This window comes from Homo sapiens, chromosome 3 (assembly GCF_000001405.40).
Source record: "Homo sapiens chromosome 3, GRCh38.p14 Primary Assembly".
In the NCBI taxonomy this organism is placed as follows: Eukaryota; Metazoa; Chordata; class Mammalia; order Primates; family Hominidae; genus Homo; species Homo sapiens.
The window spans coordinates 125,544,877-125,572,620 of record NC_000003.12 but is presented as its reverse complement, the minus strand read 5'-3'; the positions used below and the strand labels follow the sequence as shown (position 1 = coordinate 125,572,620).

Below are 27,744 nucleotides of genomic sequence, written 5' to 3'. Positions count from 1 at the left end.
GCAGGGGAACTCCTCTTTATAAAACCATCAGATCTTGTGAGACTTATTCACTATCACAAGAACAGCATGGGAAAGACCTGCACTGATGATTCAGTTACCTCCCACTGGGTCCCTCCTACAACATGTGGGAATTCAAGATGAGATTTGGGTGGGGACACAGCCAAACCATATCATTCTGCCTCTGGCCCCTCCCAAATCTCATCTCCTCACATTTCAAAACTAATCATGCCTTCCCAACAGTCCCCCAAAGACTTAACGCATTTTAGCATTAACTCAGAAGTCCACAGTCCAAAGTCTCATCTGAGACAAGGCAAGTCCCTTCTGCCTATGAGCCTGTAAAATAAAAAGCAAGTTAGCTACTTCCTAGATATAATGGGGGTACAGGCATTGGATAAATACAGCCATTCCAAATGGGAGAAAAAGGCCAAAACAAAAGGGCTACAGGCCCCATGCAAGTCAGAAATCCAATAGGGCAGTCAAAGCTCCAAAATGATCCCCTTTGACTCCATGTCTCACATCCAGGTCACCCTGATGGAAGAGGTGGGTTCCCATGGTCTTGGGCAGCTCCGCCCCGTGGCTTTGCAGGGCACAGCCTCCCTCCTGGCTGCTTTCACGGGCTGGCATTGAGTGTCTGCGGCTTTTGCAGGCACATGGTACAAGCTGTCAGTGGATCTAACATTCTGAGTTTTGGAGGACAGCGGCCCTCTTCTCACAGCTCTACTCAGTGGTACCCCAGTAGGGACTCTGTGTGGGGGCTCTGACCTCACATTTCCCCTCCACACTGCCCTAGCAGAGGTTCTCCATGACAGCCCTGCTCCTGCAGCAGACCTCTGCCTGGGCATCCAGGTGTTTCCTTACATTCTCTGAAATCTAGGCAGAGGTTCCCAAACCCCAATTCTTGACTTCTGTGCACTAGCAGGCTCAACACCACATGGAAGCTGCCAAGGCCTGAGGCACCTGAAGCCTCTGAGGCCACAGACGAGCTCTACGTTGACCCCTTTCAGCCATGGCTGGAGCACCTGGGACACAGGGCACCAAGTCTCTAAGCTGCACACAGCATGGGGACCCTAGGCCCGGCCCATGAAACCACTTTTTTCTGCTAGGCCTCCGGGCCTATGATGAGAGGGTCTGCCATGAAGACTTCTGGCATGCCCTGGAGACATTTTCCCCATTGTCTTGGGGGTTAACATTCAGCTCCTAGTTACTTATGCAAATTTCTGCAGCCAGCTTGAATTTCTCCTCAGAAAATGGGGTTTTCTTTTCTATTGTGTCATCAGGCTGCAAATTTTCTGAACTTTTATGCTCTACTTCCCTTATAAAAATGAATGCCTTTAACAACACCCAAGTTACCTCTTGAATGCTTTGCTGCTTAGAAATTTCTTCACCAGATACTTAAATCATCTCTCTCAAGTTCAAAGTTTCACAGATCTCTAGGGCAGGGGCAAAATGCCACCAGTCTTTTTGCTAAAACCTAACAAGAGTCACCTTTGCTCCAGTTCCCAACAAGTTCCTCAATTCCATCTGAGATCGCCTCAGCCTGGACACTATTGTCCATATTGCTGTCCGCATTTTGGGCAAAGCCATTCAACAAGTCTCTAGGGAGTTCCAAACTTTCCCACATTTTCCTGTCTTCTTCTGAGACCTCCAAACTGTTCCAACCTCTGCCTATTACCCAGTTCCAAAGTCACTTCCACATTTTTGGGTATCTTTTCAGCAGCTCCCCACTTCCGGTACCAATTTACTGTATTAGTCCATATTCATGCTTCTGATAAAGACATACCAGAGACTGGGTGATTTATACAGAAAAAGAGGTTGGATGGACTTACAGTTCCACATGGCTGGGGAGGCCTCACAGTCATGGCGGAAGTCAAGGAGGAGCAAGTCACGTCTTACATGGATGGCAGCAGGCAAAGAGAGAGAACTTGTGCAGGGGAGCTCCTCTTTATAAAACCATCAGATCTCATGAGACTTATTCACTATCATGAGAACAGCATGGGAAAGACCTTCCCCCATAATTCAGTTACCTCCCACTGGGTCTATCCCACAACACACAGAAATTCAAGATGAGATTTGGGTGGGGACACAGCCAAACCATATCATATATGTACTTTGTTTTTGAGAGACAGTGTCTCATTGTTGCCAGGCTGGAGTGCATAGCTCACTGCAGCCTCGAACTCTTGAGCTCAAGTAGTCCTCCCGCCTCAGCCTCCCAAGTAGCTGGGATTACAGGCACACACCACCACACACAGCTTATTTTTTCTTTTTTCTTTCTTTCTTTTTTTTTTTTTTTGCTAGAGATGGGTGTCTTGCTGTGTTCCCCAGGATGGTCTTGAACTCCTGGCCTCAAGTGACCCTCCCACCCTGGCCTCCCAAAGATACAATTATATTTTTTTTAATTTTATTTTTTCTAGCTAAGAACATTACTTTCTTTGACCACTTCTAACACCATTACTAGCAGGTGGCTCTTTTGGGCCTTCTACACAAAGAAACATACTATTTTCTCTTTCAAGTGTTTTTATATTGTGACTTCTGATTATGCTGTGAATGTCTTAAGATTCTTTTTCCTTTGTTAAACTTTTATTGGCTTATAACATACTATAGAAAAGTACACAAATTATAAGTGTGCCTCTTGTAATTTCTGCATAACCACCTCCTGGATTAAGAAGTTAAATGTTACGAGCACCCTAGGGCCACTTCTGTGCCCCTCATCACAACACCCTTCCTCACTATCCTGAACACCATAGATTTATTTTGCCTATTTTTGATGCTTCTAAAACTGGAATCATATAGTATGTACTCCTTCGGGTATGGCTGCTTTTCAGTTCACTGTATGTGTTTGAGATTTACTTAGGATGTTGAGTGTAACTGTTCCTTTTCATTGCTGTACAATATTCACTGTATGCTTATGCTATAATATTTTTTATCCATTCTGGTGTTGATGGACATGAGTTGCTGAACATATGCATGTATATATCTCTTGGTTAGGTAGCTAAGAGTGTAATTGTTGGATCATAAATTATATTTACTTATGTCTAGTAGATATTGCCACACTGTATTTCAGAGTGGTTCTGCGTGTTCATAAGTTTGGATTAATGGGAGTTGGTTCCTAAATTTGTATACAAAAACATTTATACACACACAAAGCACACTATATATGCATGTATAAATGTGTATATATTAATAGATACCATCATACCTACATACAGTTCATCCTCTTATGAAACCTTTTTTTCTGGGATGGGTAAATGTTTGATCCTTAACTATGGTACATGTTTTCAGGGACTGTTCCATATATGACACTGATTTGCTTAGTAGGATCATTTTGTACACCTCTTTCACTTGCCCCCGATGAGCCATATTAAAAATCACCTGGGCTGGGCTCAGTGACTCACGCCTGTAATCCCAGCACTTTGGGAGGCCACAGTGGGTGGATCGCTTGAGCCCAGGAGTTTGAGACCAGCATGGGCCTCATGGAAAAACCCTGTCTCTACTAAAAAAAATACAAAAAATTAGCCAGGCATTGTGGCACACACCTGTAGTTCCAGCTACCCGGGAGGCTGAGGTGAGAGCCTCAGAGCCTGGGAAGTCAAGGCTACAGTGAGCCGTGATTGCACCACTGCATTCCAGCCTAGGCGACAGAGTGAGACCCTATCTCAAAAAAAGAAAAAAAAAATCACCTGGAACAGAGCCTCTGAAAGCTAAAAGAGTCTGTCCACTATATAGAGTTTCTATGTGAACTAAACTAGTGTTCAAAGGATGGTCCATTAGAGAGCCTTCTGCTCACACCTGAAGGTCATTAAGCATCATAAATTCACTTTTCCTCTAAAAAATTGGCTTGCTCATCAATCATTGTTACTCCATTGGTTCTATTAGGAAAGCTGGACAATGCTCCTAATAAAAGCAGAGTGTATTAAAATCTTTTAAACTGAAAAGCTTGCATCCAGTACTTGGTCCAAAAGCAACATAACAGGACCAGAAAGTTTGGTTAGGAAAGAGGAAGCAGGAAAGCCATTATGCACTCATAGTAGGTTCAAATTGAGCCTGACCAAAGGTATAAGAAGTAAGTGGTTGAGAGCCCAGACTGGAACTTAATTTAACTTTGGAATGAAGTATTTGATTTTCCTGTTAAGGATCTTCTAGAATCTTTCTGATAACTTGATGGCTTAATATTCCCTTTTTTTTTTTTTTTTGAGACGTAGTCTCACTCTATCGCCCAGGCTGGAATGCAGTGGCGCGATCTTGGCTCACTGCAAGCTCCGTCTCCCAGGTTCACGCCATTCTTCTGCCTCAGCCTCCCAAGTAGGTGAGACTACAAGTGCCTGCCACCATGCCTGGCTAATTTTTTGTATTTTTAGTAGAGACAGGGTTTCACCGTGTTAGCCAGGATGGTCTCGATCTCCTGACCTCGTGATCTGCCTGCCTCGGCCTCCCAAAGTGCTGCGATTACTCTTAATAAAAAGTGCCAGGTCTTTTAAGTTTTGTTGCTTCCAAAGAAAAATTGCAGCTGCCTTAGATAACAATCTTTTGCCCAATTGATAAGCACCATTAAATGTTCATTAAATGAAGATAGCCAAACGAACTTTTAAAAAGCCTAATATGGCCTAATATGTCTTTTTTTTTTTTTTTTTAGACGGGGTTTTACTCTTTTGCCCAGGCTGCAGTTCAGTGGTGTGATCATGGCTCACTGCAGCCTCAACCTCCTGGGCTCAAGTGATCCTCACACTTGAGCCTCCCAAGTAGCTGGGACTACAGGCATGTGCCACCAGGCCTGACTAATTTTTAAAATTTTATGTAGAGTTGGGGTCTTGCTATGTTGCCTAGGCTGGTCTTGAACTCCTGGGCTCAAGTTATCTTCCCACCTCAGCCTCCCAAAATGCCGGGATTATAGGTGTGAGCCACCATGCCTAGCCTAGTAGGTCTTTAAAAATGGCTCAGAAGCTGAATCTGGTAATTAAAATGGCAACTGTATGTATACATGTTTTACAGAAATCATGAGTAGGACCCACAGAACTGTTTTTTCCTTAGATGATGTCTCATGCTGAAGGACAACAAAGAGACTTAATTAGACGAATTGAATGCCTTCCTACTTCTGGCCATCTTAGTTCCTTGGACCAGGATCTCTTAATGCTCAAAGCTACTTCCATGGCAACTATGAACTGCTTAAATGACTGCTTTCATATTCTCCAGTTACAGCATGCATCACATCAGAAGGGCTCATTGCCTTCAGGTAAGTTGTCGATTAAAGGTAGGGCTTCACAATGAAGGCCAACACATGGAAAGGACTGTATTTGTTGTAATTCTAATTTCAGAAAATCTTAACTTAAAAAAAGGAGAAGAAAACCAGAGCCTGTTGGTTTTTAATTATCATGCTGATGTTATACAAATTCTTAATGATTGTGTCCTTTTTTTGAATCTAAAATGATTTTAGGACTAATGTCTAATATCACTGAACATTCCTGAAGAGACCTCAAGCTCAACATCTCAAAAACTGAACTCAAAATGTGCATCTCCTATATTTATGTTAAAATTAGTGGCATCACTATCCATCTGTTCATCCAGTTGACCAAAGTAGAAACCTTGGCATTATTTTTTGAGTTTTGGCTTAGTCCACTGTCATTATTTTCAAGTATATAAAAGTCTATCAGTCACTTTTCAGTTTGAAAAATAATCTGTAGCTAGGCGAGGTGGCTCATGCCTGTAATCTCAGCTACTTGGGAGGCTGAGGCAGGAGGATCCCGAGCCCAGGAGTCCAAGGCTGCAGTAAGCTATGATCCCACCACTGCACTCCAGCCTGGGTGACAGAATGAGACCCCATTAAAAAAAAAATATATATATATATACACACATATATATATGTCCACTATTTGAGAACATCTATTTGTTGAAATTAATTGTGCTAGGGAAATGTTATTGCACGGGACTACAAAAAATGAGTCTTTCTATAAATAAGATGCTCATCACATTGTATGAGCAATAACTTAATAATGCTAGTGATGATAGTAACTTAATACCTTACATCTCTTTGTTCTGTTATTTAACTAATTCACCTTACTCATAAAAGAAAGGTATTTTAGAAAGGTAGAGTCTCTGCTCAGGAGACAGTTTCCCTTACTCAGATGGATATAGGATGGACCTCATCCTCATGTGTGCCTAAATTCAACAATTCCGGCCAACAAACTGTTTTTAGTGGCAATTGTAGTTGCAGGTTAGGGCACTATTGAGAAAGGCCAATCAGTTATGTATGTTCCTCTTAAAAAATTCATAGTCCACTTAGGGAAGAAATATGTAAATAATAAGTATAAAATAATGTGTAGGGGCCAGGCACGGTGGCTCACACCTGTAATCTCAGCACTTTGGGCAGCTGAGGCAGGCGGGTCACCTAAGGTCAGGAGTTTGAGACCAGCCTGGCCAACATGGTGAAACCCCATCTCTACTAAAAGTACAAAAATTAGCTGGGCATGGTGGCAGGCGCCTGTAATCCCAGCTACTCAGGAAGCTGAGGCAGGAGAATCGCTTGAACCCAGGAGGCGGAGGGTGCAGTGAGCCCAGATCGTGCCACTGCGCTCCAGCCTGGGTGACAAGAGTGAGACTCCATCTCAAAAATAATAATAATAACGTGTAGGGTGCTACTACCAAAAGGAACAAACTGTGGGAGAATAGCTGAATGACTGGTAGAAAGAGTTCTGAGAAAGGCACAGAGAAGCTGCAAAGACTGATTAGTTTAGGAGTGAGAGGTAGAGGAAAGGGCATTCATAGTTTAGGAGTGAGAGGTAGAGGAAAGGGCATTCATAGTTTAGGAGTGAGAGGTAGAGGAAAGGGCATTCCAAAGTGATAGAAGAGTCTAAATTGTGAGTTGTGAACGTGAATTCATGACTTGTAGGAATTGTAAGTAGTTCAATATAAATTTTCTCTTCTTACAAAGCAACATACTCATTATAGAAAATACTGTAGAGTCAAAAGAAGAAACAAAAAATATGCATTGTCCTACCAACCAGAAACCACCACTGTTGATATATTAGTATACTCCCCATCCCAGGTTTTCTCTTTTTTCTTCTTAGTTTTTGTTTCTTTTGCCCTGTTGTTATTGGAAAATATACGTTTGTATCTTTTTTCACTTTACATCAAAAATGTTTTCCAATCATATGCTATTTATAAATTTGCTTAGTATTTATATTCCTTTGAGGAGACAAGTGTATTTTGGTTTACTTAACTATATCCCTGTGTTGAACATTGGATGAGTTAGGCTTAGCTATGAAATTTGGGTTAATTCTAGTGTTGGTAATCATAATTCTCAGTCAAATGAAACAGTTTGTTTCCAGTTTATACTACTTAATTATTTGCTTATTTTTAAGACAATATATTATATATTTTTTATTTTATATTTCTTCTCACTCTGTTGCCCAGGCGGGAGTGCAGTGGCACCATCATGGCTCACTGCAGCTCAACCTCCCAGGCTCATGCTATTCTCCTGCTTTAGCCCCCCAAGTAGCTAGGACTACAGGCACATGCCACCATGGCTGGCTAATTCCTTTTAGTTTTTGTAGAGATGGAGTCTGTCTGTGTTGCCCAGGCTTACTTAATTTTTTAAAAGTATGTCAAGTAACACAGCACTAGATATTAGATGCTCAATAAATACTTGATTAATTAAATACTAAATTTCATTTGTGGCCGGGCATGGTGGCTCACGCCTGTAATCCCAGCACTTTGGGATGCGGAGTCAGGCAGATCACCTGAGGTCAGGAGTTCAAGACCAGCCTGGCCAACATGGTGAAACTCCGTCTCTACCAAAAATACAAAAATTAGCCAGGCATGGTGGTGAGCACCTGTAGTCCCAGCTACCCGGGAGGCTGAGGCAGGATAATCACTTGAACCTGGGAGGTGGAGGTTGCAGTGAGCTGAGATTGCACCACTGCACTCCAGCATGGGCAATAGAGCAAGACTCTGTCTCAAAAAAAAAAAAAAAGGATAATACATTTCCTACTCCTACATTTCTGCTGTAGTAGTCTGAGCATCCCTTATTATAGCACTCTATAACCAAGCTTCTGTGAAACCTAGATCAGCAACTGAAATCAAATGGAACATTTTCCATTATTGATTAGGCATAGAATCCACTTTGTTAAACTAGTCGAGGGTAACAAGAGACATTTGAATCATTAACCGAGAAGATGACAGGTCTCCAAATGTGACCACTGTCTTCACTGGGTCAGTTATTATTTATTCAGTAGAAGAGTCTTTCAGTTTAAGTTGTATGGGGCTTTTTAAAAAATGATTTCGAAAAAGGACATGTATTTGCAATTCTTAAATTAGATCCGGGGGATTATTTTGATTGGTTAGACAATTGTTGCTGAGAGTAAGACTCGATCCCAAATTGAAACAAATCTTACTGTTTCACAGTCCCAGACTCCTCCTGTAGCTGTGCCTCTCTAAAGCCTAATTGCATATTTTTTAATCAGTAGAGGGACAAAGACAACAAATCAACTGTTAGGTTGGGAATATACTTCGTGATTCACAGACTTGTCCAAGAAGTAAATTCAGTCCTATTCAGGGTTGATTTCTTTTAAATAGTATCTGATATCAAGTTGCAAGTTGCTCTGTTGTAAAATACCCAATCATGGTGCTCATGCTAATGAGATATAAGTGGCTGTCTTGCAGGGTCTCTTAACAGGTTTAATTGCTTTTAGGCTTGTAGGCTCAAAACAAAATTGTTAAAATCCACATCTGCCGAACTTTCTAGATTATGAGCAAGTTTCAGCGAAAGTTTTCTCTTACTCCATCAGGAACGACAATCGAGTGGTTAGAACCAAAGATATCTTTATCAAACCACTATAAAAATGGAGCTGACCAGCCCTTTGCAACTGATCAGAGTAAGCCGGTGGCAGTCCCAGAAGAGCAGCCTGTTGCAGAATCTGGACTATTAGCGAGGGTAAGGTAATATAAAAATATGATTTTGATGTGAAAAATTAGGTATCACTGAAAAAGGGTCAGTTTTCTTTTCATTGTCAGCTCATGCACATCAACTTAACACCTGAGCAACACTCTTGAAGATTCTAAAACATTTTAAACTGCATTGTTTTTGAAGAGGTCTCTTATATTAAACTTGTTGAATTTTCCAGGTTAAATTATATGCCCTTTTAACTTTTAGTTTACTTTTGCTTGATAAAAATATATTTTAAAAATTGAAATTTATGTTTTTCTTTTTCTAGAAAATAACTTATCTAATGAGATTTGCACAATGTTTGTCTCTTATGTTTCTTAACCTATTATCTTAACATTATTTATTATTAAGTTTATAATCTTAAAAGTTGAGTCTTTTTCATAGTAAGCACTTTACCAAGCCAGTTGTTTCAAGTATTACCCTACTTAAAATAGCACATAATCTTAGGGTTTATATTTTTATAAACTATTATTCATTTCACATTTCTTAGAAGCTGAAGAGTGTTTTATTCTATTCATAATCTACCACTGTAACAAATCATATTGATATTTTTGCCTTTTGTGTTCACATCTGTTATTTTAAGCTATTTTTACTTGATAAGCATTTTCCTATGTTGTACTGGTCTGTATAATTAAAGCTTGAAATAGTCTATTGAGTTAATGTCCCTATTGTTGAATATCTAGATTGTTTGGAGGGTTTTTTTTTTAATTATAAATAACACTTTATTATCTTGTTTCCAACTTTTTCTCCTTTTTTTTTGAGATGGAGTTTCGCTCTTATTGCCCAGGCTGGAGTGCAATGGCACAATCTCAGCTCACCGCAACCTCCGCCTCCGGGGTTCCAGTGATTCTCCTGCCTCAACCTCCCTAGTAGCTGGGATTACAGGCATGCGCCACCATGCCCAGCTAATTTTGTATTTTTAGTAGAGAAGGGGTTTCTCCATGTTGGTCAGGCTGGTCTCGAACTCTGGACCTCAGGTGATCTACCCACCTCAGCCTCCCAAAATGCTGGGATTACAGGTGTGAGCTACCGCACCCGGCCTTCTCCTATTTTTTTTCTTAGGTTATCTCTTTAAGTTATATTACCAAGTAGCATTACTGAGTCAAGAGTAATGCATAGTTTATGGTACTTTATATATTCGTAAATTACTTCTTTAAAGAAATATATGGCACAGGGACTTCCAAAGTTGGCAAAAGTTTTGGCTTGATAAGACAGGCATTGCAGGCAAGGGTTGGCAGGGGAGAAGAAAAAACAATAATGTATAAAATGCTTATTTCTCTGTAGCTGTTTGACTGGCTTATTTGTAGAAACAGCAGTTAGTAAGTATTTATTAAGCTTAGTATATGGCAAGTACAATGCTAAGAATTAGAGGAGAAGCAAAAATTAGAAGATACAGGTTTTTCACTGAAGAGACTTATAATCTGCTTGGAGTCACAACATATACACTAAAATGAGATGATAATATAAAGCAATATATTTTTTTCTTAATTGATACCATGTAGGCTATTGGGATAGGGGCATTCAGAGAAAGGAAGAAGACATATTGAGTCGGGTACATGAGAAATGCTTTGGGGAGAAAGTGGGATTGGAATTGGGCTTTGAAAGGAGACAGGATTTGAAGGGAGGAGGAAGAGAATGGGAATCTCAAGATGAAGGACTAACACTAGCAAGGATCCTAAGGCATGTGTGTTTATTGAAGAGAAAGCTTGCCTGGTAATTTTGAACCCAGGATATGCCATTCACTGACATGTGAACCAATTAATTAACCACTCTTAGCTTCAACTTCCTCATCGGTAAGGTAGGGATAATATACTACCTTGTAAGATCCTTATGAGGATAAAATGAATTTAGTAGAACACCTGGCTTATGGGAAATGATCACAGTATTTTTGGATTTTACAACTCTGAATGGCACTATTCATGTTGTACTCTGTGGAATGAAGCTTCCAGGAGCACTGCTCCATAGAATGCAGTGTAAATTGTGCCTCCAAATAACATAAAAATAATGCAGAAGGGTTTAGTCTTAATGACAATAGCGTCATGATCATGGGTAAGAATGTACTATGTTTAAGAAGATTGGTACATGATACGACTTGGAATAAAATGTGAATAGAAGGATATGGAAGTAGACATGAAGGCAAATGAATAGATTATGTGCATTTCAAATGAAAAATCAATTGGATTTGTGACTGACTGGATATAGGTTTGGATCAAGTCAAGTCCCAAGTTTTTGACTCTCAGTGGTTAGATAAAATTGTATTGTCATTCACAAAGGAAAATTAGGAAGAAAGAGTCTTTTGAGAAAAAAGGTTTAGTATAATTATAAACATGTAAATTTTACAAGAGAGGAGGTTATGTGATTATAAATGTGTATAAAAAACAATTAAGGGGCCGGGTGTGGTGGCTCATGCCTATAATCCCAGCACTTTGGGAGGCCAAGGCAAGTGGATCACTTGAGGTCAGGAATTTGAGACCAGCCTGGCCAACATGGCTAAACCTCATCTCTACTAAAAACACAAAAATTAGCCAGGTGTGGTGGTGTATGCCTGTAGTCCCAGCTACTTGGGAGGGTGAGGCAGGAGAATCGCTTGAACCCAGGAGGTGGAGGTTGTAGTGAGCTAACACCACTGCACTCCAGCCCAGGCAACAGAGCAAGACCCTGTTTCAAAAAGAAAAAAGCAGTTAAGGGACCGGGCATGGTGGTGGGCACCTGTAATCCCAGCACTTTGAGAGGCCAAAGCGGGTGGATCGCTCGAGGTCAGGAGCTTGAGACCAGCCTGGCCAACATGGTGAAACTCCATCTCTACTAAAAATACAAAAATGAGCTGGATGCAGTGGTGCATGCCTGTAATCCCAGCGACTCTGGAGGCTGGAGGAGACATTCTTCACTCTTTTTGAAAAATTCTATTTTCCCCCCAAAAAAGAAAAATAGTTCTTATGTGATATATATGGCAAAACTGCAATATGTTCAACATCAGCAATAATGGGGCTCTCTGAAGGAAATTTATACCATGGACAAATAGTTGTATTTCTGAAAGATTTTTGCCCATACTCAGATTCACTTAGGTCAAATACAAATGTCTTCAAGTCTGATATTTATTGTTTTGTTCTCAATGGATATGAATAGGTAGTTAAAATACTAGACTTTTGCTTTGTTTTCCATCAAGGAGCCTGAAGAAATAAATGCAGATGATGAGATAGAGGATACATGTGACCACAAAGAGGATGACCTGGGAGCTGTAGAAGAACAACGTAGTGTCATCCTACATCTCTTGTCACAGCTTAAGCTGGGCATGGATTTAACAAGAGTAAGTAATGGCATAAGCTGGCTATGGAGATTGTTAAGGGCTGTACCAGTAATTGTTCATGTTTATGTCAGGACTTTTTATTTATTTACTTTTTAAATTTTAATTTTAATTTTTTTTGAGATGGAGTTTTGCTCTTGTTGCCCAGGCTGGAGTGCAATGGTGCGATCTCGGCTCACTGCAACCTCCACTTCCTGGGTTCAGGCAATTCTCTTGCCTCAGCCTCCTGGGTAGCTGGGATTACAGGTGCCCACCACCATGCCCAGCTAATTTTTTGTATTTTTGGTAGAGATGGGGTTTCACCATGTTGGCCAGGCGGGTCTCGAGCTCCTGACCTCGTGATCCTCCCACCTCGGCCTCCCAAAGAGCTGGGATTACAGGCGTGAGCCATTGCACCTGGCCGGTCTTTTTATTTTTTGTGATTTTTATTTTTTATGATTTTTTTTTTTTAGTCTCCTGATCAGTATTTTTTATTTTCATAAAAAATGGCTTTCTTGGCCAGGCACAGTGGCTCATGCCTATAATCAAGCTGGCCTTGAACTCCTGATCTCAAATGATCCACTCTCCTCGGGAGGCCGAGGTGAAACCCGTCTCAGGAGGCTGAGACAGGTGGATCAATTGAGGTCAGAAGTTCAAGACCAACGTGGTGAAACCCCAACTCAGGAGGCTGAGGTGGGCAGATCACTTTAGGTCAGGAGTTCAAGACCAGCCTGGCCAACGTGGCAAAACCCTGTCTCAGGAGATGGCTGAGGTGGGCGGATCACTTGAGGTCAGGAGTTTGGGACCAGCCTGGCCAATGTGGTGAAACCCCGTCTCTACTAAAAATACAAAAATTAGCCGGGCATGGTGGCCTGTAGTCCAGCTACTTGGGAAGCTGAGGTGGGAGGATCGCTTGATCCTGGGTGGTGGAGGTTGCAGTGAGCTGAGATTGTGCCACTGCGCTCCAGTCTGGGCAACAGAACGAGACTCCATCACTAAAAAAAAAGGCTTTCTGGCTTTCTTGTGCAGCAGGAAGTTGTCTGGCAAGTAATACCAATTGTCTTTGAGTTTCAGAACAAAATTAAAGAGTCCATTGGTATACTATACTGGAAAATGTAGAGAAAATTACGTAATCCTACAGAACTATGAAAAGCATTGACACTTCCACTTACTTCCCACATGCAGATCATACATTTGGGGTATTATCTATAACAGGAGTCTGCAGACTTTTTCTGTAAAGGGCCAGATAGTAAATATTTGCAGCTATGTGGACATAGGTCTCTGTTGTAGCTATTCAACTCTGCCTTTGTAGTATAAAAACAGCCATAGACAATATACTGGATTGGGCATGGCTGTATTCCAACAAAACTTCATTTACTAAAACAGGAGGCCAGATTTAACCCAAAGACTACAGTTTGCAGATTCCTGGCCAAAAGCTTTGCTTCTTTAAGTGTGATCTGAAGACCAGTAGCATCACCATCACCTGGAAACTTGTTAGGAATGCAGAATCTCAGGCCCCAGTCCCAGACTTAGTGGACCAGAATCTGCATTTTAATAAGATCCCTGACGATTCATATATACATTAAAGTTTGAGAAGCACTAATCTGTAGTTTTTAATTTTAGGCCAGTTTTCTCTGTTCCCAGTTTAACTAGTGTGCCTTAATTTGTCTTAACAATTAATCCATGACATTAATTTAAAAAGCCAATCAAGTTCAAAACCTATATATGTCAAATATTTATTACTGTAGGATTATTTACTTTGAATTACTGATGAAACAATTTTACATTAGTATGGAATTTCAAAATTGACTTTAGGAGGTAGATGTCAATTGGAGATTTTTTTGATGCCATTGAAGGTAGATTTAAAACATTGTTTCCAACGAACTGTTCATCTGAAAATATAACTTAAATAGAAAGCATAAGAAGCAGACATTTTAGGAATTAATAAAGAAACCCATAAAGCTTTCATTATTTATATAGCTTCAGTATTTCAACTGGGAATCATTTCTGTTCTAGAAATATTTTCATATTAATGGTTCAGAAAAGACCTCATAGTTGTGAAATTGGTTAAAAATGAATAGTCTTCTGAAGGGGTTGTTTGGTATTAGTTAGCATGGTGTTTGCAGTCCCTGAGTAGATTTGCATTTATAAGGCACAAGAGCAGCATTGAGGTTTATGAGGCATAAGAGCATTTGAAAAAAGTGTGCTGTGATAGTAATCCACATGGTAGAAGTTCTCTCATGGCATGAATAAGTGCATATACTATACTTTCTCTACATTTGTACCTTGTTGATTAAAAAGTTGTATGTGGCTGGGTGTGGTGGCTCATGCCTGTAATCGCAGCACTTTAGGAGGCCAAGGCAGGTGGATTACATGAGCTCAAGAGTTCGAGACCAGCCTAGCCAACATGGCGAAACCCTGTCTGTACCAAAAAATACAAAAATTAGCTGGGCATGGTGGTGCACGACTGCAGTCCCAGCTACCATGTGGCTGAGATACAAGAATTGCTTGAACCTGGGAAGTGGAGGTTGCAGTGAGCCAAGATTGTGCCACTGCCAGCCTGGTCAACGGAGCGAGACCCTGTCTCAAAAAAAAAAAAAAAAAAAAAAAAGAAAGTTGTATGTGTTACACATATATTACATTAACATTAACCAACCACAAATTAAGAACATCTATACAACATTTAATGGAATGATACTTTTCAGGCAATATTAAAGAGCCTGGTGGCTGGGTGCCATGGCTCACACCTATAATTCCAACACTTTGGGAAGCTGAGGCGGGTGGATCACTTGAAGTCAGGAGTTGGAGACCAGCCTGGCCAACATGGTGAAACCCCGTCTCTACTAAAAACAAATTAGCCGAGCATGGTGGTGCACGCCTGTAATCTCAGCTGCTCAGGAGGTTGAGGCAGGAGAACCGCTTGAACCCAGGAGGCAGAGGTTACAGTAAGCTGAGGTTGCGCCACTGCACTCTAGCCTGGGCGACAGAGCTAGATTCTGTCTCAAAAAAAATAAACAAATAAATAAAAATAAAGAGCCTGGTGACTAAACTGCAGTCACAGCTACCTCTTATCTAACAATAACACTTAATTAACAAATATTTACTGGGCCCCTGTTATATTCCAGACACTGTGCTAGGTCTTGGGACAGGAACAAATAAGATAACCATGGTCCTAGCCTTCATGTTGTGAATAAGTAATATGCATTTTCCTACTGTTCATTTTGTTTCTTTTTAAATAATATTATGAAATTATATAAACACAAAATTTTAGAAAACTAAAGAAAATCTATCATTTTACTACCCTAACATAACAGAGCTCTCACTTTTATCTTTCTTCACATTGTCATAGTTTATATGGAATTTTGTTTTACTTCCTTTTTTCAGTTAATTTTTGTGTGTATGAAATGTGTTAAACACACAGAAGACTGAATGGTATACATATAAACATTCAAAGAAAAAAGATAAAATGAATACCCATGTATCTACCTCTGACATTAAGTTGTAGAACACTGCCTGAACTTGGAATCTCTGAGTTCCCCTCTAATTTATAGTCCTCTACTTTTTCCTCCATAAAACAATTTACTTGACTTGTGTGTTAATTATCCCTCTACTTTTTGCTATAGTTTTACTGCTTTTTTGTACTCCATAATGATGTTTAGGAAAAAATGAATAGCTAACATAAGCTTAGCATAAGGAAAGGACTGTGTTGCCATTTGTAGAAAGCAGCTCCCAGAAAAAGACAAGTTAAACATTTGAGTCTCTGGCTTTAGCTTCTTATAAGTTATTGAGAAAGTTTAGAAGAGCCCTTTCTTGTGAAATTATAAGGCAAAGTTGTGAGTCCTGTAAAATATACATCCCAGAGCATTTGGTGTGAGTCAGCTACAGGAGGAATGTGGGCTGGGGGAGTGAGCTGCTCAGTATTTTCAGTTTCAAAGCAAACTGTGACCTACCTCCAACTCTGAGGAATAGATTGAAGTCAGAAGGCTTCTTTCGGGGAAATGAGCATCTTCAGCCAATCCAGACAGCAGAACATGGAGAGGAGACTAAGAACTTCACCAGCAGATAGTCAACACAAGCCAAATACAGATACACTTGGGATCAGTTTCACTAGGCTATTTTATCCTGAGGTTTGAAAAGATGATACAATGGCAGCATGAAGCATGTGGATGACAGTCTTCAGTATGTCTGTCTCTTGAGTCACATCACTCTAATCTGGACCAGTATTTCCTTTAGCATTCTCTTTGGCTAATCCGTTTACTGTATCCGTTTCTTCTTTCTTGGTTGCCTCTCATTTTGTTGGAATATATCCTCCATTAATTTCTCAGAAAGATTTGTAAGAAGCGAATGTGAAAATGTGTGTCTGAAATGTCTGTGTTGCCCTCGTGTTTCATTGCTGGTTTAGATAGAATTTGTTACTTGTGGCCAGGTGCAGTGGCTCACGCCTGTAATCCCAGCACTTTGGGAGGCCAAAGCAGGCAGATCACTTGAGGCCAGGAGTTTGAGACCAGCCTGGCCAACATGGCAAAATCCCCTCTACTAAAAGTACAAAAATTAGCCAGGCATGGTGGCACATGCCTGTAATCCCAGCCATTCAGGAGGCTGAGGCACAGGAATCACTTGAACCTGGGAGGTGGAGGTTGCAGTGAGCTGAGATGACGCCACTGCACTCCAGCCTGGGTGACAGAGCGAGACTCCATCTCAAAAAAAAAAAGATAATATCTCCGTGCTGCAGGGTTCTAATGAAAAGACTGAAGTCATTCTGATTCCTGATCTTTTGTTTGTGACTTGTTTTGTATGTTCTTCTCTCCAAAATTGTTTAGAATCTTCTCTTTATCATGTCTTGGTATTGTGACATTGATGTAGGTTTCTTTTATCCATTGTATCTGGGCACTTGGTGGGCCTTTTCAGTGTGACAACTCATGTTTTTGAGTTCTCTGAAATTTTCTTGAATTATTTCTTTGATGATTGTATTAGGGTTCCTAGAAGGACAGAAATAAGAGGATAGATGTATATATAAAGGGGAGTTTATTAAGGAATATTGACTCATACAGTCACAAGGTAAGGTCTCATAATAGGCCATCTGCAAGCTGAGGAGCAGGGAATCCAGTCCGAGTCCCCAAACCTCAAAAGTAGGGAAGCCAGCAGTGCAGCTTTCAGTCTGTGGTTGAAGGTCCAAGAGTCCAAAAGCGAAGAACTTGGAGTCCGATGTTCAAGGGCAGGAAGCATCCAGCAGGGGAGAAAGATGTAGGCCAGAAGACTCAGCAAGTCTAGTCCTTCCATATTCCCCTGCTAGCTTTTATCCTAGCAGCTGATTAGATGGTGCCCACACAGATTGAGGGTAGGTCTGCCTCTCCCAATCCACTGACTCAAATGTTAATCCCCTTTGGCAACACCCTCAGACGCACCCAAGAACAGTACTTTGTATCCTTCAATCCAATCAAGTTGACACTCAATATTAACCATCACAATGATTTTTCTTTCTTCTATTTTGTTTGTTTGTTTGTTTGTTTTCTCTGAAATCCTTATTATATGGCCATTGAACTTCCTGGTCTGGTCTTTTATTGTTCTCTCATACTTTTCTTTTTCTCTCTTTGTCTGTCTTCTGTGTTATGGGAGATTTCCTCGCCTTTTATCTTTTAACTCTTCTTTTGACTTTTAATTATTGTCATGTTTTTAAATTTTCTGATTTTTTTAAAAAGCATTCTTGTATGTATATAATATCTTCTTAATTCTCTGAAGATATTATTTTTTATTTTTGTTTTTTCCCCTCCTTTGAGGTTTCTGTTTCCTCCAAATCTGTTTCTTTATTTTGTTCTTTATATTCCTAGTTAGAGGTTTTCTCAGAAATCAGATCTTCTGCTCACAATTAAGTTTAGGGAAACTAAAATCTGATTTTAAGCTTTAACACGTAGGTGGCGCCTATGTTTTTCATTGTCCCATAATCTGGATGGGCCATTTGTTGGGAGACTTGGTGTCAGTATCATTAGGTTTTTCTTCTAGGTTTAGTCAAATTTCCCAGAAGAAAAATTTTTTCATCTCATACTTGGTGACTCCAAAAGGAGTTAAAAAGGAGAAGAAGGCTGCATGAGAGAGGGTGTTAATAGCTAACGTTTAGTTTATATGGAGTTATTAAATGCCCTTGTTATGTATCACTTGGTATCCACTCTCTTAGAATTCCTTGCTATTCTCCAGTCTAGAGAATAGACCACCTTGTTTATCCAGAGGCTAAACCTCTAGACTTTGAGGTCCAAGAGGGTAGTTACTAACAGTGTGGAGTTGGGGGTTTGAGTTAGGCATCTAATTGCTTTCCATACAGATTTTACTCAGTTATTTTTATTTTATCATTTCTGTGAATCCCCAGATCCAGAGGTACCTAGTGCGATCAGCTCCTGAGCCTTTTTAGGAATCTGTGCATATTGTAACCTACTGCCTAAGTTTCAGCTTTCTAGTTAGGAACTCTCAAAATTTTGTTGTGTTTTGTCTACTTTCCTGGTATCTCTGGGTTTGTCTTTATATGAAGTTAATTTAATTTCAGTGGAATTTCGACAGAAAGTGAAATTAAGATGCATGTGTTCAATTCACCAGCTGAACCTGCAACATCCACTGTCTTTTGTATTATTTGTATCATCTTCAAAACCGTCTTTTTAAATGACTATAATAGTCAATTAAATGAAAGTTCCCTACTTCAGTTAGCTAGAACCGTAGTTTAAAATGCAGGTTGTTCTAATTATTTTTTCACATTGCTTTTCCTTCATTCAATTATTTATTTCCTAAGGCTAGATTCTTGGAATGTAAGTACTAGGCTAAATGGGTAAGAACATCTTAGGGCTCTTGAAAAATATTGCCAGATTTTGCTTTCTCAGACGTTTAAACCATTTTGCAGTGCCTCTCCCAACTCTGCTTTAAGTAAAATATTTATCTTTCTTACACTTACCTGGTTTTAAGTATAAAAATTTCTCTTATTGGAAATAGTTCTCTTGTGCTTAAGATTAAATATATGTTGCAGTTTTTGCTTCGGTCTGTGATCTCTTTAGTCTGTTCTCAGGGAATGACATTTATTGACTTTTCTCATGTCTTGGTCATTCATCTACAATTTAATTTTAACATAGGAAAGGAGCAAAGGCATGGCTAACATTTACTTTGAGTTTTAACACCATTTCCCTGGTGATACTTTTATCCAGTCTAGAAGTTTGAGGATTTTTTTGAAGTTTCTTCTGACTCTCTTGAATTTATGTTTAGTCTTGGGCAGATTTGCCTGTCCTTTTAAGAATGCTTTTTTGTTGTTGTTGTTAAGACAGGGTCTCACTCTGTTGCTCAGGTACAAGTGCAGTGGCGCAGTCATGGCTCATTGTAGCCTTGACCTCCCAGGTGATCCTCCCACCTCAGCCTCCTGAGCAGCTGGGACCACAGGCACAAGGCACCATGCCCAGCTAATTTTTGTAACTTTTGTAGAGACACGGTTCCACTATGTTGCCTCAGCTGGTTTCGAACTCCTGTGCTGAAACAATCCTCCCAACTTGGCCTCCCAAAGTGCTGTGATTATAGGCATGAGCCACTGCGCCTGGCCAAGAATGCTTATTTTTTAATGTGACTGAATACTTTTTCTTTGTGACTTTGTTTTTAATACCCATCTAGAATGAAATGTTTTCAGAGAGAGAATAGTTGTCTACAGATATGCTACACATGGATTAAATTTCCCCTCTTTCATTGATTGTTGTTTTAGGTGGTGCTTCCTACATTTATCCTAGAGAAGCGTTCCTTGCTGGAAATGTATGCAGACTTTATGTCTCATCCAGACCTATTTATAGCCATCACTAATGGAGCCACAGCTGAGGACAGAATGATTCGCTTTGTTGAGTACTACCTTACCTCATTTCATGAAGGCCGTAAGGGAGCCATTGCTAAAAAACCATACAATCCTATCATTGGAGAAACATTTCACTGTTCCTGGAAGATGCCAAAAAGCGAGGTAGCATCCAGTGTTTTTAGCAGTTCTTCCACCCAGGGAGTCACAAATCATGCTCCTTTATCGGGGGAGTCTTTGACCCAGGTGGGATCAGACTGTTACACAGTCAGATTTGTTGCTGAGCAGGTTTCTCATCATCCTCCAGTCTCAGGATTTTATGCAGAATGTACAGAGAGGAAGATGTGTGTAAATGCGCATGTCTGGACTAAGAGCAAGTTCTTAGGCATGTCAATAGGCGTGACAATGGTTGGAGAAGGTAAGTAGAAAAATTATTTTATATATATATATATATATACACACACACATATATATATGTATTTTTTTTTCCAAGCAGGAATGAAAGTTTACTTTAAAAGGCTTTAGAACAGGAAAGAAAGGAAAGTTCGCTTGGGAGAAACCCAAGCAGGCACGTGAAGGTCAAGTGCCTGTTTTATAATTTTTAATATCAAACTACAATCTTAAATTTAGGAACCCCAGATAAATATTAACTCTAAGTTTAAAATATTATGTTACTTTTTCGCTCCAATTTCTAGAGTGTTCCAGAATGCTTCTTGTGGGGATGGGAGGAGTATATCTATGAACTAATGTAAATTCTCTTTTTAAATTATTTTTTTCTGATTTTAAATATTTCTTTTCGTTTGTTTTCTTTTCTTTTTTTTGAGATGGAGTCTCGCTCTGTCATCCAGGCTGGAGTGCAATGGTGCTATCTCCGCTCACTGCAAACTCCGCCTCCCAGGTTCAAGCGATTCTCCTGCCTCAGACTCACGAGTAGCTGGGATTATGGCGCCTGCCACCATGCCACCACACCCAGCTAATTTTTATATTGTTAGTAGAGATGGGGGGTTTCACCATGTTGGTTAGGCTGGTCTCAAACTCCTGACCTCTGATGATCCACCCACCTCGGCCTCCCAAAGTGATGGGATTACAGGCATGAGCCACCGTGCCTGGCGATTTTAAATATTTCTTATCAAATATTTGGAAAACTAGAAAAGTACAAAGCAGAAAATAAAAGCTTCTGTAATGCCTGCATCCATATATATATAAATTTAATATTTTATACTTTTTCTGTGTGTGTATGTTCATACTTTTAGCCTTATAAAATTAGAATTAATAATATATATAGTTTTGAGTCCTGCTTTTTAAATTAAATATATTCATTTTATCATGTCATTGATAAAACATATTTTAATGACTGCATAATATTCTATGAAATAGATTTTCCATCCTTTTTTTTAATTTAATTTAATTTAATTTTTTTTTTTTTTTTTTTTTAGAAACAGGGTCTTGCTCTGTTGCCCAGGCTGAAGTGCAGTGGCATGGTCATAACTAACTGCAGCCTTGACCTACTCGGCTCAAGCCATCCTCCTGCCTCAGCCTCCCAAGTAGCTAGGACTACAGGCATGCACCACCATGCTAGGCTAATTTTTTTAATTTTTATTTTTAGAGACAGGGTCTCAATATGTTGCCCAGGCTGGTCATGAACTCCTGGGCTCAAGTGATCCTTTGGCCTCCACCTCCAGGCATTAGCCTGTAATCTCAGCACTTTAGGAGATGGAGGCCAGAGGTGCTATTCATAGAATATTTAGGTGCTATTCATAGAATATTTAAAAATATATGCTGATAAAAGTTAATTCTACTTCATCAGAAGATTATGAAAAAATTATTTTTGGAAATGCAGAGTTTTTTGACCAAGAATATGAAACAAAAACAAAAATCTCCACAGAAATTATTGAAGAGTTAATGAAAATATAATGATAGGAAAAAAATACCACTTTTATGTTAAAGGAAAACTCTTATGCAAAGAACACTATGCTCTGAATGTCATCTTACAGTGTAAGCATGGCATCATTAAGCCAATCTAATATTTTGAGATTGTGTTATAGTCGTTATGAAGAAAGTATCCTCTTTTTCAGTTTTCCTCATTTTTAAGTTCTGTTGTAATATGTCTTACCAATTTCCAAATAATATTTCAAGTTAATTACAACTTTTATAACATTAGAAAGTACTCTCTTTTTTTTTTTTTGTTTGTTGTGTGTGTGTGTGTGTGTGTGTGTGTGTGTGTGTGACACGGTCTAGCTGTGTCGCCCAGGTTGAAGTGCAGTGGGGCCATCTTGGCTCACTGCAATCTCTGCCTCCCAGGCTCAGGCCATCCTCCCACCCCAGCTTCCACAGTAGCTGGGATTACAGGCGTGCGCCACCATGCCCAACCAATTTTTGTATTTTTTGTAAAGATGAGATTTTTGCCATGTTGCCCAAGCTGGTCTCAAACTTGTGAGCTCAAGTGATCCACCCACCCCAGCTTCCCAAAGTTCTGGGATTACAGTTGTGAGCTACTACACCCAGCTGAAATCATTCATATTTTATTAGTTAAAAACAAAAAGTTTGCTACCCTCCATCATAAGCTCCGTCACGTTAGCCTTAAGCACTTCATAGATCAACTTGCTTATTTTATAAGTGAAAAAAAACTGAAGTCTAGAGATGATGAGACATGTCTAAGGTCATAAATGTTAAGGAATAGACACATTTAGAACCATATTCTTTGACACTCTCCCAAAGGACAGTTAATCTTATCAGTTCATGTAACAGTAAGAATCTGGAAATGGTAGCCTCTCACACTGCAAGAAAGGAAGTACTTCAAGAAGTGAAGAAAAGCCCAGCACAGTGGCTCACACCTGTAATCTCAACACTTTGGTGGGCCGAGGTGGAAGGATAGCTTGAACCCAGGAGTTTGAGACCAGACTGGGCAACATAATGAGACCCTATCTCTACAAAAATTTAAAAAAAAAAATTAACTGGGCATGTTGGCTTGCTTCTATAATCTCAGGTACTTGGGAGACTGAGGTGGCAGGATCACTTGAGCTCAGGAAATTGAGGCAGCAGTGAGCCATGATCGTGCCACTGTACTCCAGCCTGCATGACAGAGGAGAACCTTGTCTCAAATGTAAAATTTTTTAAAAAGAAATGGAGAAAAGCATTCATGTCTTAACCATGCTTTAATTATAAAGGAGGTATGTAAATAATTTTTTATTGTGCTGCTACATATTAATGGAATATATTGGAAATTTAATGGTTATCGATATCCTCAACAGAAAGTAAGTAAAAGTCAGGAATGGGGCTGGGCGTGGTGACTCACGCCTGTAATCCCAGCACTTTGGGAGCCCGAGGTGGGTGGATTAGCTGAGGTCAGGAGTTCGAGACCAGCCTGGCCAACATGGGGAAACCCCGTCTCTATTAAAAATACAAAGAAAGTAGCCAGGCATAGTAGCAGGCACCTGTAATCCCAACTACTTGGGAGGCTGAGGCAGGAGAATTGCTTGAACCCGGGAGGCAGAAGTTACATTGAGCTGAGGTCGTGCCATTGCACTCCAGCCTGGGCATCAAGAGTGAAACTCCATTTCAAAAAAAAAAAGACTTAAAATATATACAAGTATGTTGTCTGTCATCTGACAGCTCTCATGTATAAATATAGCCAGAACCATGTTTTTTGGGAAATGGCTCAATAAACCTTAATTTATTGTTGCCCTTTGTGAAGACTATTAAGAGCAATACAAAAAAAAAAAATAGTTGATGTTGCTTTGTGTAGGCTACTTTAGAATCTCATTTTGTCTATTTGCTTATCCTAAAAATTAACTATATTAAAATATTTATCATATACTTGCCCTTATTTGTGAACATTGAGAACTGAGTGCTTAACGAGCATTTATTAAGAGGGAGATGCCATAAAAGTTTGGACTAGTAGTATATATCCACTTCAATATGTGGTCTGTTGATGACACAGGTAATGAGTTTAGAAGGTTAGTAATGTAGCTCGAGTATCCTTAGTATCCCTTAATTATCTAGTATACAGTGATTATTTATTAATATAGTCCCCTTTTTATAAAACCTTTTAAACCATCTTTAATTAGCATCACTTAATATGGAACAAGCTCCTTTCTCCATTAGAATAATATTTGTTTGAAAACCACCACTATTATCTCTTCTAGCTTCACCATAAATATTTTATAATTTGGCAAACAAAATTATTATGACCATAGTTTTTATAATCAAACAACATTTTTTCTTTCTTAATATACATAGAATAGAATGAAGAACAATTTTTTCCCATTATACTGTCTTAGATGAATGTCTATGACTTTATAACATTGAATATCTAGTTATTCCCAAACTGTTAAAAAGTTATTCATACTAATGATAAAATTTTAGCATACCATTGTCTTAAACTCTGACTGAAGGCCTTTTTTAAAAAATTATTTTCAGGGGCCAGGCACAGTGGCTCACGCCTGTAATCCCAGCGTTTTGGGAGGCCGAAGCAGGTGGATCGCCTCAGGTCAGGAGTGCGAGACCAGCCTGGCCAACATGGTGAAACCCCGTCTCCACTAAAAATACAAAAAAATTAGCTAGGTATGGTGGCGGGCACCTGTAATTCCAGCTACTTGGGAGGCTGAGGCAGGAGAATCATTCGACCCAGGAGTCGGAGGTTGCAGTGAGCCAAGATCACGCCACTGCACTCCAGCCTGGGCAACAAGCACAAAACTCCGTCTCAAAAAAAAAATTATTTTTAGGAGCATTAGAGAAAACCCTTGAAATGTTTCCACTGTAACATTTACTGGTTTCATGAACCTCAAATTGATGGAAAGGTCATGTCATAGTGAAAGTAAACCTGATTCACTATTGCCTGGTAATGTCAGATATAGTTATAAATGAAGTCAGTTTCATTGAAAGTTAAATGAAGGTTAGGAAAAATAATGATGCTTATTTACTAGACAAGAACAAAATTAATATGGATTGTTTCATTAGCTGTTTCTTTAAAAAGATGTTAACCACCCTCATGTTTTCACATTCAGGTATCCTTAGTCTGTTGGAGCATGGAGAAGAGTACACATTTTCTCTACCCTGTGCATATGCTCGGTCAATTTTGACTGTTCCTTGGGTAGAACTGGGTGGCAAAGTCAGTGTCAACTGTGCAAAAACTGGATATTCAGCCAGCATCACTTTTCATACCAAGCCATTTTATGGTGGCAAACTGCATCGGTAAGAACATTTTAATGATTATCTAGTTCTTATTCTTCCACTTTGATTTTGTATTACAACTCCTTATTCTTTTTCTGCTCTGTTCTATGTGAAGTTGGATTTGTATTAATGTTTATTTCTTATTTAAAATATTTCATCTTTAAAGCATTCTGAAAGTCATGCTCTGTTTTTAAAAGTAGTAACATTAAGATATCTACTCTTAAAAATTTTCCTGATGAAGTAACTAGTGAGCTTTATAGTAGAATTTCTAACAAGTGAACATGCAGTCTCTGGCCCAATTCTGCCTTTAAGGGATACAGATTTGGATCTGGACCTCAGTGAAGGCAGCTATAGCTATAAGTTAGGGTGGAAATATATCTAATCATGAAGAATGGTTCAAGAAGCACAATGATTAAAGCCAGTGTATGTGCTTCATTAGATGCTTAGGTGGAAGCAACTTGCAGTGATAAATTTCTAGATCCAGTACTTCTTATTGTCAATGATATTGATGCATTTTTTTTTTTTGTCATTTGTTTTTTTGAGACAGAGTCTCACTCTGTCGCCTAGGCTGGAGTGCAGTGGCACAATCTTGGCTCCTTGCAGCCGCCTCCTGGGTTCAAGCGATTTTTGTGCCTCAGCCTCCCAAGTAGCTGTGATTACGGCATGTGCCACCATGCCTGGCTGCTTTTTGTATTTTTAGTTGAGATGGGCTTTCACCATGTTGGCCAGGCTGGTCTCAAACTCCTGGCCTTAAGTGATCTGCCTGCCTCAACCTCCCAAAGTGCTGGGAGCCACCACACCTGGCTAATATTGATGTATTTCTTAGTCACATGTGATTTTTTAGTCATGGGTGGATCACCTGAGGTCAGGATTTCGAGACCAGCCTAGCCAACATGACGAGACTCCGTCTCTACTAAAAATACAAAATTAGCTGAGTATGGTGGCGCATGCCTGTAATCCCAGCTATTCAGGAGGCAAGGCTGGAGGATCACTTGAACCCAGTAGGCAGAGGTTGCAGTGAGCTGAGGTTGCACCACTGCTCTCCAGCCGGGGTGACAAGAGTGAAACTCCGTCTCAAAAAAAAAAGAAAAATTGGCCGAGTGTGGTGGAAGGTGCCTGTAATGCCACAGGAGGCTGAGGCAGGAGAATTGCTTGAACCTGGGAGGCAGAGGTTGCAATGAGCCGTGATTGTGCCACTGTGCTCCAGCGTGGGTGACAGAACAGGACTCTGTCTCAAAAAAAAAAAAAACACACACACACAAAAAAAACGAAATAGACTTTCCTATTCTTTTTTTTTTTTTTTTAAGAGACAGGATCTCCCTATGTTGCCCAGACTGGTTTTGTACTCCTGGGCTCAAGCAATCCTTGGCTTCCCAAAGTGCCAAGATTACAGGCATGAGCCGCCATGCTCAGCCAACTTTCTTATTCTTGACACCTTTTCTTCTTTGTGCTTACAAATTATTGTAACTAAGGTCTTCTTCATGTCTTTATTTAATGCCCATGCCTCCTTCCTCAGACATAGCCTAGTTTTTTTAACTGCTCTCTGCAGTTGGGACAGACACATTATCTGCTGTCTGCATTTGTTATAAATATATTATATTCTACCTGTCTTCCCTTACTCCCTTAGTTTCCACATCTATCTCTCATGCAGCCAAGTGAGCCTGCTTAACTATTCCCCATTCTCATGTCCACCTTCTGTTCCCATTTTCCACACTCACTTTAGGATGCCTATATATATAGTGTGTGGTGTAATATCATAAAGATTTTAGGATATGTAGATTACACACACACACGCACACACACACACATATATACATATATCTATATACTTTACTGCATACTAGAGATACAGAGAAATAAAAATAAAGACTATCTTTGCCTACAAGAAGCTTTCAGTCTGAGATTATAATCCAGGATACTATTTTTGGAAAGCATTTGTAAGGCTTTTAGGAAAAACTCATATGTAATAGTTAAAGATAAAGTCTGTCATAATACCATAAAGATGGGTAAGGACAATGGTACTGTGAAGATAGGATTAGATGGTTACTATAGCTAAAAAATCAATTTTTAGTTCTGATTCATCTGTTAAAGCAAATAAAGAAACATGATGCTCAACATACTTCCCAAAGTCTGACGAAGGAAGCATATCACTTTTTCGAGATAGACAAACTGTTTTCCTGGCACTAAATTCTAAAGGGATTTGTTGCATGTGTCCTTACATAGTGATATCGAGTAAAATAACAGACAGTGTCTTCTTCAGTAGCTCTCCATAAAATGTAATTATGCTTCATGTGAATTTTTTATATATACCATGAAACCCAAAGCTAACTTTCAGTCAGTAAAATATTTTCTATTTGAAGCTAAGTTAACATAACCAGTGGTTTTCTGGTATCTCAGGGAGCTCTTAGAGACAGGATCTAGAAAATCTAAAAGGCTGATTTGTCAAGTTTTTAAAAAGCAAGAAAGCATATGTTTTATTATTTATCAATTATTCTTACTTTAGAGATGAATGGGACAAGAATGTAAGATTTAGCTCTTTGCTAACTATCT

General features: G+C 39.6%; 1 protein-coding gene across 2 annotated transcripts in view; it reads left to right on the top strand.

Annotated features, from left to right (window-relative positions):
• Positions 1–27,744, top strand: part of OSBPL11 (oxysterol binding protein like 11) — a 66,640-nt gene that overhangs the window by 22,877 nt on the left and 16,019 nt on the right. Inside the window, exons 6-10 of one of the 2 annotated variants that reach the window (NM_022776.5) lie at positions 5,026–5,227; positions 8,778–8,923; positions 12,102–12,242; positions 19,942–20,440; positions 25,029–25,215. In NM_022776.5, the coding sequence (NP_073613.2) occupies positions 5,026–5,227; positions 8,778–8,923; positions 12,102–12,242; positions 19,942–20,440; positions 25,029–25,215 (1,175 nt within the window). Of the gene's footprint in view, positions 1–5,025; positions 5,228–8,777; positions 8,924–12,101; positions 12,243–19,941; positions 20,441–25,028; positions 25,216–27,744 lie in introns of those variants that run through there. The other variant, XM_047447396.1, reaches the window with a different exon arrangement.